Below are 15751 nucleotides of genomic sequence, written 5' to 3'. Positions count from 1 at the left end.
TTGTTCTTCCTTTATGTTATAATGCAGCAAGAAGACCCTCACCAGATGCAGCCCCTCAGTCTTGGACTTCCCAGCCTTCAGAACCATGAGAAATAAATGTCTTTTCTTTATAAATTACCCAGTCTGTGGTATTCTGGTATAGCAGCACAAAACAGACTATGACAGACATCAAAAGCATGACCCATACAAGAAAATAATTACTGAACTGAACTTAGGCAAAACTGTAAATGCTTGCTCGTTCAAAGACATTGTTCTGTTAAGAGAATATAAAGATAAACCTCAGACGGGGAGAAAATATTTACAAGTCATATATCTGATGAAGAGCTTGTATCCGGAATGCATCAAGAACTCTCAATTCTCAAAAACAGGGAAACAAACAATCTAATTTTTTAAATGGGCGAAGGATTTGAGACAAATTCAACAAAGAAGATATGTATGGCAAATAAGCCCATGAAAAGATGCTCAATGTCATTAGGCATTAGGGAAATACATGCTAAGACCACAACGAGATATTACACTAGTAGAATTTTAGCCAGTAGAATGACTAGAATTCAGAAGCAAGCATGTTGAGGAGAAACTGAAACTCCATTTACTGCTTATGGAAATGCAAAATGGTTCAACCACTTTGCAACCTAGTTGGGCAGTTTCTTGGAAAGTTAAGCACACATCTACCATACAATCTAGCCATTCCACTCCTGGGCATTTACTCAAGAGAAATAAAACCATATGTCAAAAAAATGTTTATAACAGCTTTGCTGATAATAGCTAAAAACTGGAAGCAACTCAAATGGCAGGAAAATGCATAAACAAATGGTGGTTTCACATCCACATCATGAAATACTACTTAGCAACAAAAAGGAATGAATGACTGCTACAAGCAACCACATAGAAGAGTCTCAGGATAATAAGCTGAATGCAAAAGCTGGACAAAAAAGAGCACATGTGGTATGAGTCAATTATATAAAAATCTAGAAAATGCAAACTTACAGTGGTAGAAAGCAGACCAGTGGTTGACTGGTGGGGTGGGGAGGGGTGGGAGGGAGGAACTACAAAGGGGCATGAGGAGGCTTTTTGGGGTGATGGATATGTTCATTATTTTGATCATGGTGGTGGCTTTGTAGGTATATTCATGTAACAACTGATGGAATTGAGCACTTTAAGAACGTGCAGTTGATTGCATATCAGTTGCACCACACTAAATCTACCAACAAAAAATCCATGCCTCCCAAACAACAATGTTCAATTTTTTTTTTTTTTTTGAGACAGAGTTTCGCTCTTGTTGCCCAGGCTGGAGTGCAATGGCGCGATCTCAGCTCACCGCAACCTCCGTCTCCCGGGTTCAAGCGATTCTCCTGCCTCAGCCTCCCGAGTAGCTGGGATTACAGGTATGCACCGCCACACCTGGCTAATTGTTGTATTTTTAGTGGAAATGGGATTTCTCCATGTTGGTCAGGCTGGTCTCAAACCCCCGACCTCAGGTGATCCACCTGCCTTGGCCTCCCAAAGTGCTGGGATTACAGGCGTGAGCCACTGCGCCCGGCCAATAATGTTCATTTAGCAAGACCGCATGCCCACTAAAAGGCATACAATTCCCATTAGAAGGGCTGTTATGGGAGGCAAGGAACTGGATTAGGGTGTAGGGATTAAATAAGTAAAACAAGCAAGACAAAGGCTGAGAAGGGAGTGTTACTGACCCAAGCCAGCTTCTCTGCCAGTCTGTGTGAGACTCACCCATTCAAGTCCCTAGACTCCTTAAGGGTCTATTAGACCCCTGAGCCCCCTGTTTGGAGGCATGAGGTTACCCACAGCCAGGTGACTGTTGGCTGGCTACATCATTGGTCAGAAAACACTTGCTTGGGATAACCAAAGAAATGAACGGATATTTAGAATATGTATTTTTTAGATGTCTGAGTACCCTATGCTAATGGATTTGTCATTCAACAGATATTGATATTGACTACATGCCTCAGTGCCAGGCAGTGATGGAAGGGAGGTGTGGGAGGAAAAGGGTGCCCAGACCCCGGCTGGGTGGGTGTCTGGGTGCTGATGGCAGGAAGACCCCACAGATGGTGTGTTCCTGGGGACAGGGACCAGGTCTGTGTTATTCACCAACAGGGCTCCCTGGCTGGCACAGACAGGGCCCTGGAGTCAAGTGAAGCCTGGCAGTTGAGGACAAGCCAGCTTAGGAAGGCACCACGTAACAGAAGGTTCTTTCTTACAAGGTTTAAAGCAACCCAAAGATTTTCACACCCAAAGGCCTGTGTTTCCGGTGGCATTCGCTTTAGGTAAGCATATCAGTCCAGATTCCCCAGAGGAAAGAATCAATAAACAGAAGCAATAGACTCATAGGGGATGAGAGACAGAGAGAGAGAGAGAGAGACTGATTTTAAGGGATTGACTCACCGCCATGGGGACTGGCAAATTCCTAATCTGTAAGGCCGGCCAGCAGGGTGGAAACCCAGCAGAGTTTCTACGTTACTGACCTGAGGCACAATTCCTTCTTCTCCAGAAAACCTGTTTGTTTGCTTGTAAGGCCTTCAACTGGTGGGACGAGGCCCACCTACATGATAGAGAATAATCTCTTTGACTTAAAGTGAATGGACTGCAGATGTCAGCCACGTCGACCAAATACCCTCCCAGCAGCACCTAGACTAGTGTTTGACCAAACTCCAGGCACTACAGCCTGGCCAAGCTGACACGGAATGTTAACAAGTGAACCACATCCAAATCCTGAAACTGCAGGTGTCAACTGTCCAGGAACAAGTTCCACCTGACTGGCTCCACGGGGCCCGGCCGGATCTTTGGGGGCAGTGCAATTTTTGACAACTCTGCTGACGGCAGCTCCGAGGCTGTCCACACTGGCACCCAGAGCTGTAAAGCCACACATAAATGCCCAGTGCTTGCTGCAAGAATGCACAATTCAAGTGACACTTTAGCTGAGCCCCGAGGGATGGCTTGGCCGGGCGAGGGATTGGAGATGGTAGGCAGAGCCACAGTGTCTGCTTGAGCCGGCAGGGGCAGGGAGCATGCCAGCTATCACGCTGCATCCGTAGGTCTGAACTTTCCCAGACAGTGAGATGGCCTCTGCGGGTAACGAGGGGCCCCCACGTGGTAAAGGGCTGCAGGGTTTGCAGCACGAAGGGACAAGCTGAGTCTGGTGCTCAGGAAGAGTCCCTCTTACTGCCATGAAGATGATAGATTTGGGGTGGGGGCCCTGGGGGTGGTCACAGCAGGTGGAGGGACTAGTTAGAGGCTGGTTTAATAACCCAAGTGAGATGGCGAGTGGGGACAGGAGTGCAGAGCCACCTGATATTCAGGAGCTTGGATCTATAGGACGTGGCAATTTTTGGTGGTGGGCGGTGAAGACAGAGGAAGGCACACTGATGTCTCACTCTCGCAGAGCCCAGAGGGCCTTCCTCCGGCCCCACCCAGGCCTGGGCTCAGAACCTGAGGTCGGCAGACCCTTGAAATGATAGCAAATGCAGCGTGTCTGCACACAACCTCATTTCCCTGTTTGGAGTAGAGATTTTGTAGCTTTCAACGGATTCCCAAAGAGACCCCCAAGGCTGAGAGGGTGAGGACCATGGCCCCCAGGGAAGGAGCCCCTGGCCTGGATTCCTGTCAGAGTGTCTAGCTCCAAGACCGATCCGTGTGTCCCTGAAATGAAGTATGGGTGGGGAATCATTCTTCGATTTGCAAAAATGCAATTTGTACCCAGCTCTGACAGCCTAAAGCACTCCTGGATTATTAGCACAAAAGCAAGGACACAGCCCCAGTCCTGCAAAAAGGGAAGGCCGGGCGGCTCTTCCTGTTGGAAAGAGGCCAGGAGGACATTTGGGGATTTGATTCCTAATTGTTGTTCAGCATCACTGAGGGATGTCTGGCTGAAAGGCAGTCAGTGCTTCTGGTTTCCGAGGGAGGGGTGCAGCCCTGTCTGGCCTCATCGTCCATGTGACTGTCCCAGAGGCTGCCTCCTGCTTTGGCCAGATGGCACCGCCAGCCGCTTGATGACATACGTTCCTGCTCTTGGATTTATTGACACAAGGTGCACAAAGCCTTGCTTAGGCAGGTCAGGGAGGCTCCCCACCTTCAGCCCAGCCCTGCTTCCCTTCAGGGGATAATGACCCAGCCTGGCCACAGGTGCCAGGCTCGGGCCTCTCCAGACCCCAACTCAGAGCCTTTCTTCCCTGCAGAACCTGGAGTGTGGCTGACAGAAAGGCACCCGGACAGGGAGGGACTGGACACTCACTCTGCTAGTCACTCTCCGCCTGCCCCTCCAGGTCCAGCCCCGACTCCTCACCCTGTTTCTCTGCCGCAGGAGACCAGCTGGTTCCCCAGCTTCCTGGCTTTGGAGTCCCCACTTGAAGCGGCCAGTGGGGGTTGCCAGCAACCGATCAGAGCTGGGAAGGAGAGAGGGGCTGGCTTCCTTCCTGCCCAGCCGCAGGGGGCAGTGTGTGCCTCCCCTACGCACAGCCACGACAGCTCCCATCCGGCTCCATGGACAGCTCCCTCTCTTGCTGGGTTCTGTAACTGCCTCCTTCTGGCCTCAGACAATAACAAGGGGCTTCACCAACCATCCTTTCCTGGCTTCCTGATCTCGCCCACCCCTGGGGGTGGGTCATCTGCTTCCTGGGGGCCCTTGACAGATGCATGTGGCGGGAACTGATGGGAACAGCGATGGTAGCAACAATCACCACCACTTACCACGCACAGGCGCGCTCCACCGCACACATGAGCGCTCCACCGCGGACAGGTGCGCTCCACCGCGGACAGGCGCGCTTCACTGCACACAGGCGCACTTCGCCCCACTCACCTCTCTGGACAAACTTATGGAGTAGACGCTCTTGTTAGCCCCCACTTTAGAGATGGGAAAACTGAGGCATGAGGGTGGTAGATGGCAGAGCCAGTAGTCAAGGACACCAGAACTGGGAGGAAACCGGAGCGACCTGGGAATCTTCTCTGGAATACACTTGATCTCTCACAGGATGTGGGGGATCACCTCTGGAGCTCTTGCAGGGGGGCCAATGGGTTCCATAGACCCTGCGGTCAGCGCTGCGGGGCGAGACTGTGGTGCTGACCGCTTGCCCCTCTGGGGTCTGGACTCTCGGTGAATCCCTGCACGGACACCGCGACCCTCTTCTCTGGCCAGGCCCGGGGTCGGCTCACACACTGGTGCCCTCGAGGGCTGGCTGAGTGAGATTTGCTGGCTGTGGCAGTGTCGTCCCTGACGTGAGTGTGACCTCGGTGGCGTATGCACTGCCCCAGACTTACCCCAGCGTTCGAGTGACAGGCACCTTACTGTCCATTTCCTTTCTATTCAAAGAGAAGATTAAAAAGGAAAATTGGTGACCCCGGGGGTAACCGCGGGCGAGCTAAAAATACTCTCAATAAATAAACAAACCGGGTCAGTGATCCAAACACCATGAGGCAGCGATTCCGGGTGTGCAAAGGCCACCATTTATGGCTGTGGGCTTGTTTGCCCAGAGAATGCCCTGCCGGAGATATAGGATAGCAGTATCCCGTGGGGTACGCCGGGGCAAAATGACCCATGTCAAGTCAATAACCTCCGCGCTGCTTCACCTTCTCGTGCTGGAATGCCTTCTGCGTGCCTTCCTGGAAAGCGCCCTGTGGCCCCGTGACCCAGCCTGGGCCGGCACCTTGAGTTGGGCACAAATTCAAGATGACAACTCTTGGAGCCCGTTGGCTGGCGGCAGAATGATGAGGAGACATTCTGCCCGGGCGGTTTATTGTCCGTTCTAGACTGAGAACAATTCCGGGCTGTTACGATGTGATTGCCCTTGGGCGCGTTATCAGCGTGAACTCAGGGCAGAGCAATACCCCTGCCAAGCGGCCGACGCTGTTTCACAGGGAGGGCCCTCCTGCTCTTTCACCCACAGTGGGGCTCGGGGCCATGGGTGCAGGGCTGGAGGAGGATGTGAGGGGCAGCTATTTCAGTCTGGAATATCAGGATTTTAACCCCAAATAAATGTCTTGGTTATTATTTCAGCAAGCGTGCCCTAAATCACCTTGGGAAGACTTGAGCCTTTCAGAGCCTTGGTTTGCATAAAATAGGGGCTGTGTCAGAGCCCCCTTTGTGGGGCTATTGAGAAGATTCCAGAAGATTTCATAGAATGAAGTGCTTAGCACTGAGCCTGGCACAGCATAGGTGGTTGAACATTGATGCTTTTTTTTGTTATTAGTACAGCTGTGTTGCTGATTTTATAGTCGAGATTCCACAAGAGGAAATCGGGTTGGAACATAAAGATATTTGCCCCGTGGATTCTCCAGGGGGTTCCCACACAGTCCCATTCTCACATTCATTTCTCGAGCTGTCCCTCTTATTAGCCTACAGAATGAGCTAGAGCTGCTTCTCGCTGGCAATGGGGAGAGCTCCTTTCTGGGGGACCCCAGCTCCCAGGAGCTGAACTTAGAGGTTGCCAGGCCTGAGGAGAGGGAAATGACCCAGAGATGCTAGGAGGGGCTGGGCCCTCTCAGCACAGGCCTCAGGCTTCTCTTGGAAGCAGGGGTTTGCCATGCAGGAAGCAGGCATGGCCCATGCCCATTGTGGGAGAGGGTGAGGCTGCACCGCCTGCCTGCTTTCTGCCAGCACCCCTTGGCAGGCAGGCGAAGGTAGGCAGGGGCCCTTTGGGACTCTGCTGGAGGAGGTTTGGACGTAGGGCTCTAAGGCCCCTAAAATTTGCTCCATGCATCCTTACACAAGGGAGAGCTCCAGCAGAAGCCAGGGTCTGCGGTCAGGGAAAGGCAGAGGACGGCAAGGGCCATGGCCCTCATCGCACAGACACTGAGGAAGAGCAGGGTCTCACCCTTGGTGGCTCAGCTGGTTTTTGGCAGTGATGGCTTCAGAACCTGGGCCCCCCATCCCCAGCCAATGCTCTCTGGTTTTCCAAAAGGAAATTTCCCTATTATTTCCCTCCTTAGATCCATGAAGGGTATTTATCAATGGCAAAGGATGATGCCCTGCAGGTGTATCAGTGGCCCGTGAGCCAGCTCCATCCAGCCTCAGCAGGAAGAAGCATTTTTCCAAGCATCTCAATGCTCACATTAGTGCTCGATTGGCAATTAGCAAATGTCACAACCCCCTCCTCCCTGAGCGACAGTTGTTTCAGATGTCAAATTCCTGCCAAGCGCCACGTCTTGTTCTAAAACCTCTTTCCAGGGGTACTCGAGGGAAATTAGCATGATGCCAGCCGAGAAGAAAACCCCTCAGAGCTTGAGAATGGCGAGTCCTCCCGGGGAGGGAATTCAGCCGCAGGTTCCTATCGACAGTGAAAGATTAATTGATGCAGAGTGAATTATGGAAATGCGTGAGGCCGTTTCTACCGATGATGCCTTTAAAACCGCGGTCCCCCGCTGCAGCGTCATCGCACACCAGGTCTGCAGAGGGCAGCGGAAGCCCCAGCCTCCTTCTTTTGTCCTCCCCAAGAGGCCCCTCCCCAAAGTTAAATGTGTTTAGAAGTGGGCAGGGGATTGAACAGCCCTGCAAAGCAAACATCACCTCCAACACTGACAATGCGAAAGCGCTTCCTGTGGACCAGGCACTTTGCATGGATTATATTTCCTTTGTTCCCTAAAACAACTCGGAGATAAATTCTATTGTAATTCCCATTTTACAGAGAAGGACACTGAGAGGGGAGGTGACTTGCCTCAGGGGACCCATTCAGGGAGTGCAGAACCAGGATCTGGCCCCAGTGGCCTGTCTCAGAGCTGGGTCCTTACCTGTGCCCTGCCAGGCGAGTGATCTGAATGGGCAGGTGGGGAGAAATCCCGTGCCTCGATTTCCACTAGGAAAGTGTCTTGGTTTTCTGTTCACTGAATGGTTACGAGCCCTTGTCCCTGCAGGCTGGGGGCCAGGGAGGAAGGCTGAGGACCAGGTGGGGAACAGTCTATGTCTCAGAGCTGAGGCTTTCATAGGGGAAGGGGATTCTCGGGGAGGTGAGGGGTGCTGGGTGCTGATGGGAGCTCTGGGGGCACTGCCCAGATCCCCTGGGCTCTTAAGATAAAGTTGAGGGGTCAGAAGGTCCAAGCAGGGCCTGAGATCTCATGTCACTCCGAAGCTTCCAGCAAGGGAGACCCTGGTGGCAATTTCCCAGCGGGTCTCTAAGCCAGAGATACCCAGGAGGCTTTGCTTTCCGGTTTGATATGGGGGCAGCCCAGTCTATTCATGGATGCCCCAGGCTAAGGGGCGTGGCTCTAGACACACATGGATCTGGGCTCTCGAGCATCAGTGTAATAACCTCATTTCTTGAATGAGGTGAGTAAAGCCCAGGACAGAAGGAGGCTCCCAGAGTCCCCAGCAGAGCCAGACTCAGGGCCCTGGTCACCCTTGGCTGGCCAGGACCCAGCACAGGGGCCGTGGAGGTAGGGAAAGCCGCTGGTCCAGAGCATCCCGACCTCCCCCGAATAAAAGGGGTGGCTTTGGTACTGCCTGAGAGTTACAGTTGACTCAGCCCACCTTGGAAGCCAGGTTCTAGGAAAAACCCCTCCCTAAGGAAGAAGGATGCCAGCTGCCTTCAGCCTGGTCCCACTGCCACCACAAGATGGCGCTGTTTTGCGGGGTTTTTGTTTCTGTTTACAACCTGAGCACACTGACCTGGTCTTTCCCACCTTTGATGTTCTTGGGTTTATGGCACTGAAGGTAATTCTGTCGTCCTGGTGCAGAGGGCAGAAGATGCCTTCTTGTAGGGTGCATGCACATGTGTGATCATGTGTCCACGTGTGTGATCATGCGTGCAGGTGCATGTGTGTGCATATGTACCTGTGTGAATCTTGGTATGCATGGCATATGCTCTTGTGTGTTTGTGTATGTCTTTGCCTTGTGTGTGCATGTGTGCATACATGTGAATATGTGTGTTATATGCTCCCATGTGTGCAGGAGTGTGTATATTTGTAGCACTGTGTATGCTCATGTGTGAGCCTGTGCTCATGGACATATGTGTACCTTTGTGTCAGTAGGTATTGTATGCGTGTGTATGTATATGTACATGTGTGTTTGCCTGCAAGGTACATGTGTGCGCCAGTGTGTGCACATGTGTATATTTTGGGCTGTGTGGGGATGTGTGCAGAGGCACATGTGTATGCCTTTTTGCGTGCATGGTGTGCACGTATGTCTGTGTGTGTGTCTGCTGGACAGCAAGAAGGAGCAAGGTCCATCTCCTGTCCTCAGTGGTCCCTCCCCTCCTCTCTTTCTTGGCTAATGTGGCTCAGAGCCTGCATCGGCAGGCGAAAGCTGGGCCTGGCTGGGGGCACCTCCGGGCGCTGCTCCATGCCGCCCTATGGCCACTTGCACCTGGATGCAGGAGCACTGTCTGCTATTTGTCTCCCTTACTGTACTCTGAGCTCCTGGAGGCCAGGTCTGGGTGGTGCTCAACCAGGGCTCCCCAGGTTTGGGCACAGGACCTGGCCTAGAGTAAGAAGTTCGCTAGAGACCAATCAGGTTTCTAGGCCGAATACCGAGGGTCCAGTTGTCAGAAATATCTGAGAGTTCATTTAATTCGCTCGACAGTCCTCTGAGGCAGGCTGCATAATTATTCCATCTTGTGATGAAGAAACAAAGGCACAGAGAAGTTAAGTGACTCACCCAAAACCACCAGCTATGAACAGGCAGAACCAGCGTCCAGCCCAGGTTTGAATCGATGTTTGTGGGTTGAGATGAATAAATTATTCCATTGGCCTGAATATATATTTTTAGCAGGAGGTGCTTTATCTGCATTTTGTTACAGGGATCATAAACCCTCTGTGCCCAGAGCAGGAGGCCATAGGCAGTCCTGCTCAAATGCCTCTTCCTCCAGGAAGCCTACCTGACCTCTCTCAGAGAAAATTTCTGATTCTCTGTGTTCCTGCAGACTTCAGGTTTCCACTTGGAGGTCCTAAGGTGCATAAATTCTTTCCAACCCTGTGAGCAAGAAGCCAGGGTTTTGGGGAGCCACTGAGGATCTGAAGAAATCTGATAAAAGCTCCAGATGCTGGGATCATGTAGGTGTGCACAGAAATCATCCCCAGTTTGAGAGGGTTCACTGACAATGCAGCTCAATGTTGGGCCTCGGCTAGAGCCCTGAAATGATAGAGACACCTGCCTAACTTGAGACGCAGCTGGCGACGGCCAGTGGAGCCCCTGTTTCCGAGAGGGGAGCGTGGCACTAGACACTTCTTCTTCAGCCATTTCACAAATATTCTTTTTTTTTTTTTTTTTTTGAGACAGAGTCTCGCTCTGTTGCCCAGGCTGGAGTGCAGTGGCGGGATCTCGGCTCACTGCAAGCTCCGCCTCCCGGGTTCACGCCATTCTCCTGCCTCAGCCTCCCAAGTAGCTGGGACTACAGGCGCCCGCCACTACGCCCGGCTAATTTTTTGTATTTTTAGTAGAGACGGGGTTTCACCGTTTTAGCCGGGATGGTCTCGATCTCCTGACCTCGTGATCCGCCCGCCTCGGCCTCCCAAAGTGCTGGGATTACAGGCGTGAGCCACCACCCCAGCCGAATTTGATTGAATTTTGAATTCAGACTCTGAATAGTATCCCCAAATCCCCAGGCAAAGGGCCGACAGTGGAGCCTCCTGCAAGTGGGGGGGCAGTACACTGGCTTGGGAAGAGTCGGGACTTTTCGTTCAGGGCCGCAGGGACCAGCTGCCCACTCCCCGAGCACCTACAGCCCCACAATTGGGGACGTCGCCAGCCACTGAGGTCTTTCTTCTCGGCACTGCCTCCACCCCCACCCCGGCTGTCCTGTCCAGTCTTCAAGCAAATGTTTTTGATTTTACAGGAAGTAGAGCAAGGACCTAATCTGAGTTTAATTTTTGAGTACATTAATTATATTAATTAAGTATATTAATTAATTAATATATTAATTAAGTATATTGATTAATTTCTGAGTATATTAATATGGCAGAGAAGGCTGCACAGTCGTGTTCAGTAACTGCTCCAGGCCTTGGAATGTCCCCGTTGGTATAAATTAATGGTTTGGAGATACCAAGTGATGTGAGGTCTGCTTTTGCGTGTAAGGAAAGAGATGGGCTAAACTCAGGGAACCCACATCCATCTAGGGACAGCCCTGTCTCCAGGACTCAGTTTACCCATTTATAAAATAAGAGGTGCAATTGCTATCACATACCCCACGCTGTACACAGACTATCAAACCAGGGGCTCTGAGGGGCCAGAGTCACGGCCCTGTTTGCCTGCCCTACACAGGATGAGAGTAGAGTGAACACGAGTATAACACGATGAAGGAGAGGAGAGCTTCCCAGAGGAGACAGGCACATCCATCCTGTGTTCTGAAAAAGAAAAAGAAAAAAAGAAAAACAAACTTCCCCCAGTAACTCAATAAGAAAAGCTCTCTGGAATCCCACCGTCCACCTCGACACCCCTCTTTCTTCCTGGCTGTTGCCTTCTGCCCGCACCTCTGTATCACCCTTCCCTCCCGATCACTCTCCATCTCCCCACTCTTCAAGGTCCCCACAGAACATCTTCCCACTATGTGGCAGTGACCATCCCTGTCCCGGAGTGGCCTCCCCCCTCAGCCCTCCCCACTCTGCCCTCCCCCTTCTGCCCTCCCCCCTCAGCCCTCCCCACTCTGCCCTCCCCATTCTGCCTTCCCCACTCTGCCCTCCCCACTCTGCCCTCCCCACTCTGCCCTCCCCATTCTGCCTTCCCCACTCTGCCCTCCCCACTCTGTCCTCCCCACTCTGCCCTCATTCCTACAGATTTGCTGCCTGTGTGTTTTCTCTTTGGGGATAAGAGTTGCTTCTCCAGGGTGCACCTAGTGCATGGGAGACAGCACTTCATATATGTTTATTGACTGAATGCATCAAGTCTGGGTTCAAAAACATGTCTCATAACCCAGAATATTCTATACCCACAAGAGGACCGGGCTTGTGAGCAGAGTCCTTGCTAAGTAGGCAGCCACTCCTGTCCCAGGTCTTTGGGGACAAGAGTACATTAATATGGCAGAGAAGGCTGCACAGTCGTGTTCAGTAACTGCTCCAGGCCTTGGAATGTCCCCGTTGGTATAAATTAATGGTTTGGAGGTACCAAGTGCTGTGAGGTCTGCTTTTGCGTGTAAGGAAAGAGAGGGGCTAAACTGAGATGGCTTCTGACTCTGGACTCGGAGGCATTAATTACTTAAATGAATAAGTATTAAATCAAAGGCCTTGCTTCAAAAATTAAACTCAGATTAGGTCCTTGCTCTACTTCCTGTAAAATCAAAAACATTTGCTTGAAGACTGGACAGCCAGGGTGGGGGTGGGGGCAGTGCCGAGAAGAAAGACCTCGGTGGCTGGCGAGGTCCCCAATTGTGGGGCTGTAGGTGCCCGGGGAGGGGGCAGCTGGTCCCTGCGGCCCTGAACAACAAGTCCCGACTCTGCCCAAGCCAATGCACTGCAATGACCTCTCACCTCTGCGCTCCTGCACAGCCAAGCCTGGAGGTGAGAGTAACTGCAATACCAGAGAGCAGGGGCCCTGGTTAGAGGGGTCCAGGAGACCAAGGTGGGGACTCTCAAGCCAGGAGGATTTGGAGCAGGAGCAGCAAAGGCTGGTGAGAAGACCAATATGAAAAGACCAGGGATGCTGCCTGGGGCCGTGCAGGGACCTTGAGGGAGAATTTGGATGCGACCTTACACCCAGACTCAGGGGTCCCTGTAATTCTCCTATTTTATCTTAATCAGACTCGCTCTGTTCACAGAATCGCCTGTGGCATTTCCAAGTGCCAGTCTAATCTTGCTTCCCACCCTAAACATTTCTTCCTGCAGTACGAAGGTCCGAACTCCTCTGTGAACGTCAAAGCCCCAGTGGGGCCGCCCCCAGGCAAGCTGGTCTCCTAAGGAATTTGCAGTTGGGCCTCTGCTCTCTCTGTTCACTGGCACCGCCCGATACCCTGGCATGTCGCTCACCCTTCAGCTGTCCCTGATTTCTTCTCCACCCTCCTTATTCCCTCCCCAACAAATGCAGGCATTTACTCCTTCTCTGGGGATCCCAGGAATTCTTTTAGTGCCTCCTTGATAACAGCAGCCAAGGATGGTTACTGAACACAGACTCTGCCCAGCGCTGTTCCAGTCACGGCCCCACGCTGGTGCAGGCAGTGCTGGTGACAGCCCGTGTGGCGTGTGCAGCCTACGTGCAGTGCCCTGCATTCTATCAGACCACCAGCTCCAGCTTCAGATATGACTGGACGCAGAGGCACAGAGAGAGGAAGCCGCCGGCCTCCGGCCACTTAGCAAGTGCTGGCCAAGCAGGGCTCAGGCCCTGGCCCCTGGCTCTCTGAAGGATGGACCCTGGTCTCGTTCGTTCTGTTCCCTTTGTCTCTGCACCTGGAATGGGGGTGGTGACGTGCTTCTCTGTCTCCAGGCTCCTTCCCCTCCAGAGGGGCCACGGCGTGCTGGCCTTTGCCACCCAGTCCCTTGACCAACTCCCAGGGCCCTGTGGGTGGCAGCATCCCCGCCAGCTCCCTGCTCCTGTGTCTGGCCCGAGCTAGGCACTCAGCATCACTGGAAAGGAGCTGGGCTGCCTGAGCTTCCTTCCTTGGGCTCCCCCGGCCAGAGGCAGCTATTGTCCCCCACCGTGGGTGCACCAGGTTCCTGCCTCAGAGCCCCTCCGATGCCAAGGCTGCTCCCCAAGATGTAGCCAGAATGCCAATCTGTCTCGGGGCCGTGTGCCCTCTGAGCTGGCTCCGTGGTGGCGGGACAGCCCTGGCGGCCACAGCTCATGGGAACAGATGATTTCTTTGGGCCACCAAGCATCCCGCAGAGACCACACCCAGCATCCCGTGGTGGCTGGAATTCCACACTGGGTCCATAGGCAAGTCTGCCCTGAGACAGTCAGCCTGGGGTGCCAGCCAGGGGAGCGCAGCTCACAGGGCTGTGTGGACACCTCTCGGCATGATGAAAATCTGTGTCTGCCAGGATCACCCATAGACCCCCCCAGACCTGAGCTAGAGACGCCCCTGCCCTAGCCCCATGCCTCAGCGGCCTGGTAGAGGGTTGATTGGCGGCCCCTAAGCCACAGCTACCTCAGAAGATGGCTTTATTGGAAATAAGGGTCTGTGCAGATATAATTAAGGTAAGGATCTTGAGACGAGATCATCCTGGGTTACCCAGGTGGGCCCTAAATCCAATGATGGGATCCTTATAAGAGGCAAAAAAAAAAAAAAAAAGAGAAGACATAGAGGGGAGGTGACCGTGTGACCACGGAGGCAGGGGCTGGTGGGAGGCGGCCACAGCGAAGGAGCAGCTGGAGCCCCAGAAGCTGGAAGAGGTAGAGTGGGTCCTCCCCTAGCGACTTCAGAGGGCATGTGGCACTGCCAACCCCTCGATCTTAGACTTGAGGCCGGCAGAACTGCGAGGGATAAATGCCTGCTGTTCATACTGCCTGGTCTGTGGGATTTCAGTGCAGCAGCTGCGGGGCACTGAGGGCACCTTGCCCTCAGGCTGTCGGGGCTGGAGCTGGGGCTCAGAGAGTGGAGGCATGGCCGTGACCAACACACTTCTCCCCACGCCTCCATTTCCTTTTCCCTACCACTCAGGAGGCAACAGGACCTACCCTGTAGGGTTTGGGGATGACTAAACAGTCTTATCACTCAGGGGGCTGGAGCAGCACGTACACCTGGTTGATGTGGCATCCATTTTCACTGACACTGTCGTGCAACTTTATAACTTGCCCAGTCCCTCAGCTTGTAGTGGGGAGCTCAGCTTGTAGTGGGGAGCTCATCTTTCAACCCAGGTCTGTCAGCAGGCAAGGCTCATGCTCATGAGGTCTTTGTGGCACCCTGAAAATGGGCACATACGGATGGCCCCCTGAAGGACCTGTAGTGTTGTCACTAAAGGTGACACTGGTTAAGCTAAACAGCTCCGCGTGGAGTTCAGGAAATGCCTGATCCAGGAGCACAGGAGCTTTGTCCAATGACCGCCTGCATCTCCGGCACTTCTGACTGGGGCTGGCACATAGTCAGTGCTCAGTGCCTTGGGTCAGTGGATGGAAGCAGGGATGGGGGTCTCTAGCCCGGTCATGCTTGCGGCAGGGGTGGAATGTCTTTGAAGACACACACAAGTCAGGGAGGGGAAGTGAGACCCTGGAAGCCCGTCCGACACGGGGGCCTGAGGTTAACGTGAGGGTCCAAGGTGTCCAGCAGAGGGGGCTGTAGGTGGGTGATGGTTTAGGGGATTCCTGAGCAGAGGCCTGTGAGGTACAGAGGTCTTCGTGTGGGAGGGTGGACAGGCAGCTGGCAGGCACTAGAGGAAGCCAGCTTGGCCATCTTCTCCTGTCCCGTCCCCAGCAGCAGCCTGGCCAGGGGCGGCTCTGATGGGCTTGGAAGGGTGGGCACCAAGCATGGGCCCGGCTGGCACTGACGGCCATGACCACAAGCACCTGAGAAGAACTTCCCGCTGCCAGTCCCCCAGTGGGGCTGTGGGGTGAATGCTGGTGAGCAGGGCTGAGCCCAGGAAACGGACTTGGAGAGGAGCTGGGAGGCCTCGCCTGGCCACACAGAGGCTGAGCGCTGAGCAGGCTTGGTCCTGTGCCCCAGGCCACATTGCCTGGATCCAGTGGCAGGTGAGACCAGAGCACTTTCCAGAGCCCTGTGCTGCTAACCTACTCAGCCAAGCGGGGGCAGCTCTGGCCTAGAGGTGGTGTGGGACCTGGGGCCTCTTCTCCTGGGGCACCCAGGGCTCTGTCCCAGACGGCTGGGTCCAGGGAAATTCTAATTGGAATAAAGAACTCCTTCACGTGTCAGCGTCTTCCCATCTCATCAGG

The 15751-nt window shown here is 53.4% G+C and overlaps 3 annotated features.

The window, feature by feature from the left end:
• Positions 5607-6202: an enhancer, noted in NCBI's record as "H3K4me1 hESC enhancer chr11:69705859-69706454 (GRCh37/hg19 assembly coordinates)". NCBI's record gives its function as "activates a minimal SCP1, AML or CMV promoter by ChIP-STARR-seq in naive H9 embryonic stem cells {active_cell/tissue: H9 hESC(naive)}" and the evidence as "EXISTENCE:reporter gene assay evidence [ECO:0000049][PMID:30033119]".
• Positions 8398-8692: an enhancer, noted in NCBI's record as "tiled region #8845; HepG2 Activating non-DNase unmatched - State 12:CtcfO, and K562 Activating DNase unmatched - State 12:CtcfO". NCBI's record gives its function as "activates a minimal TATA promoter and a strong SV40 promoter by Sharpr-MPRA in HepG2 and K562 cells {active_cell/tissue: HepG2 | K562}" and the evidence as "EXISTENCE:reporter gene assay evidence [ECO:0000049][PMID:27701403]".
• Positions 13351-13851: an enhancer, noted in NCBI's record as "H3K4me1 hESC enhancer chr11:69698210-69698710 (GRCh37/hg19 assembly coordinates)". NCBI's record gives its function as "activates a minimal SCP1, AML or CMV promoter by ChIP-STARR-seq in primed H9 embryonic stem cells {active_cell/tissue: H9 hESC(primed)}" and the evidence as "EXISTENCE:reporter gene assay evidence [ECO:0000049][PMID:30033119]".

The sequence above is a fragment of the Homo sapiens genome, chromosome 11 (genome assembly GCF_000001405.40).
Source record: "Homo sapiens chromosome 11, GRCh38.p14 Primary Assembly".
In the NCBI taxonomy this organism is placed as follows: domain Eukaryota; kingdom Metazoa; phylum Chordata; class Mammalia; order Primates; family Hominidae; genus Homo; species Homo sapiens.
This window is presented reverse-complemented; position numbering and strand designations above follow the sequence as displayed.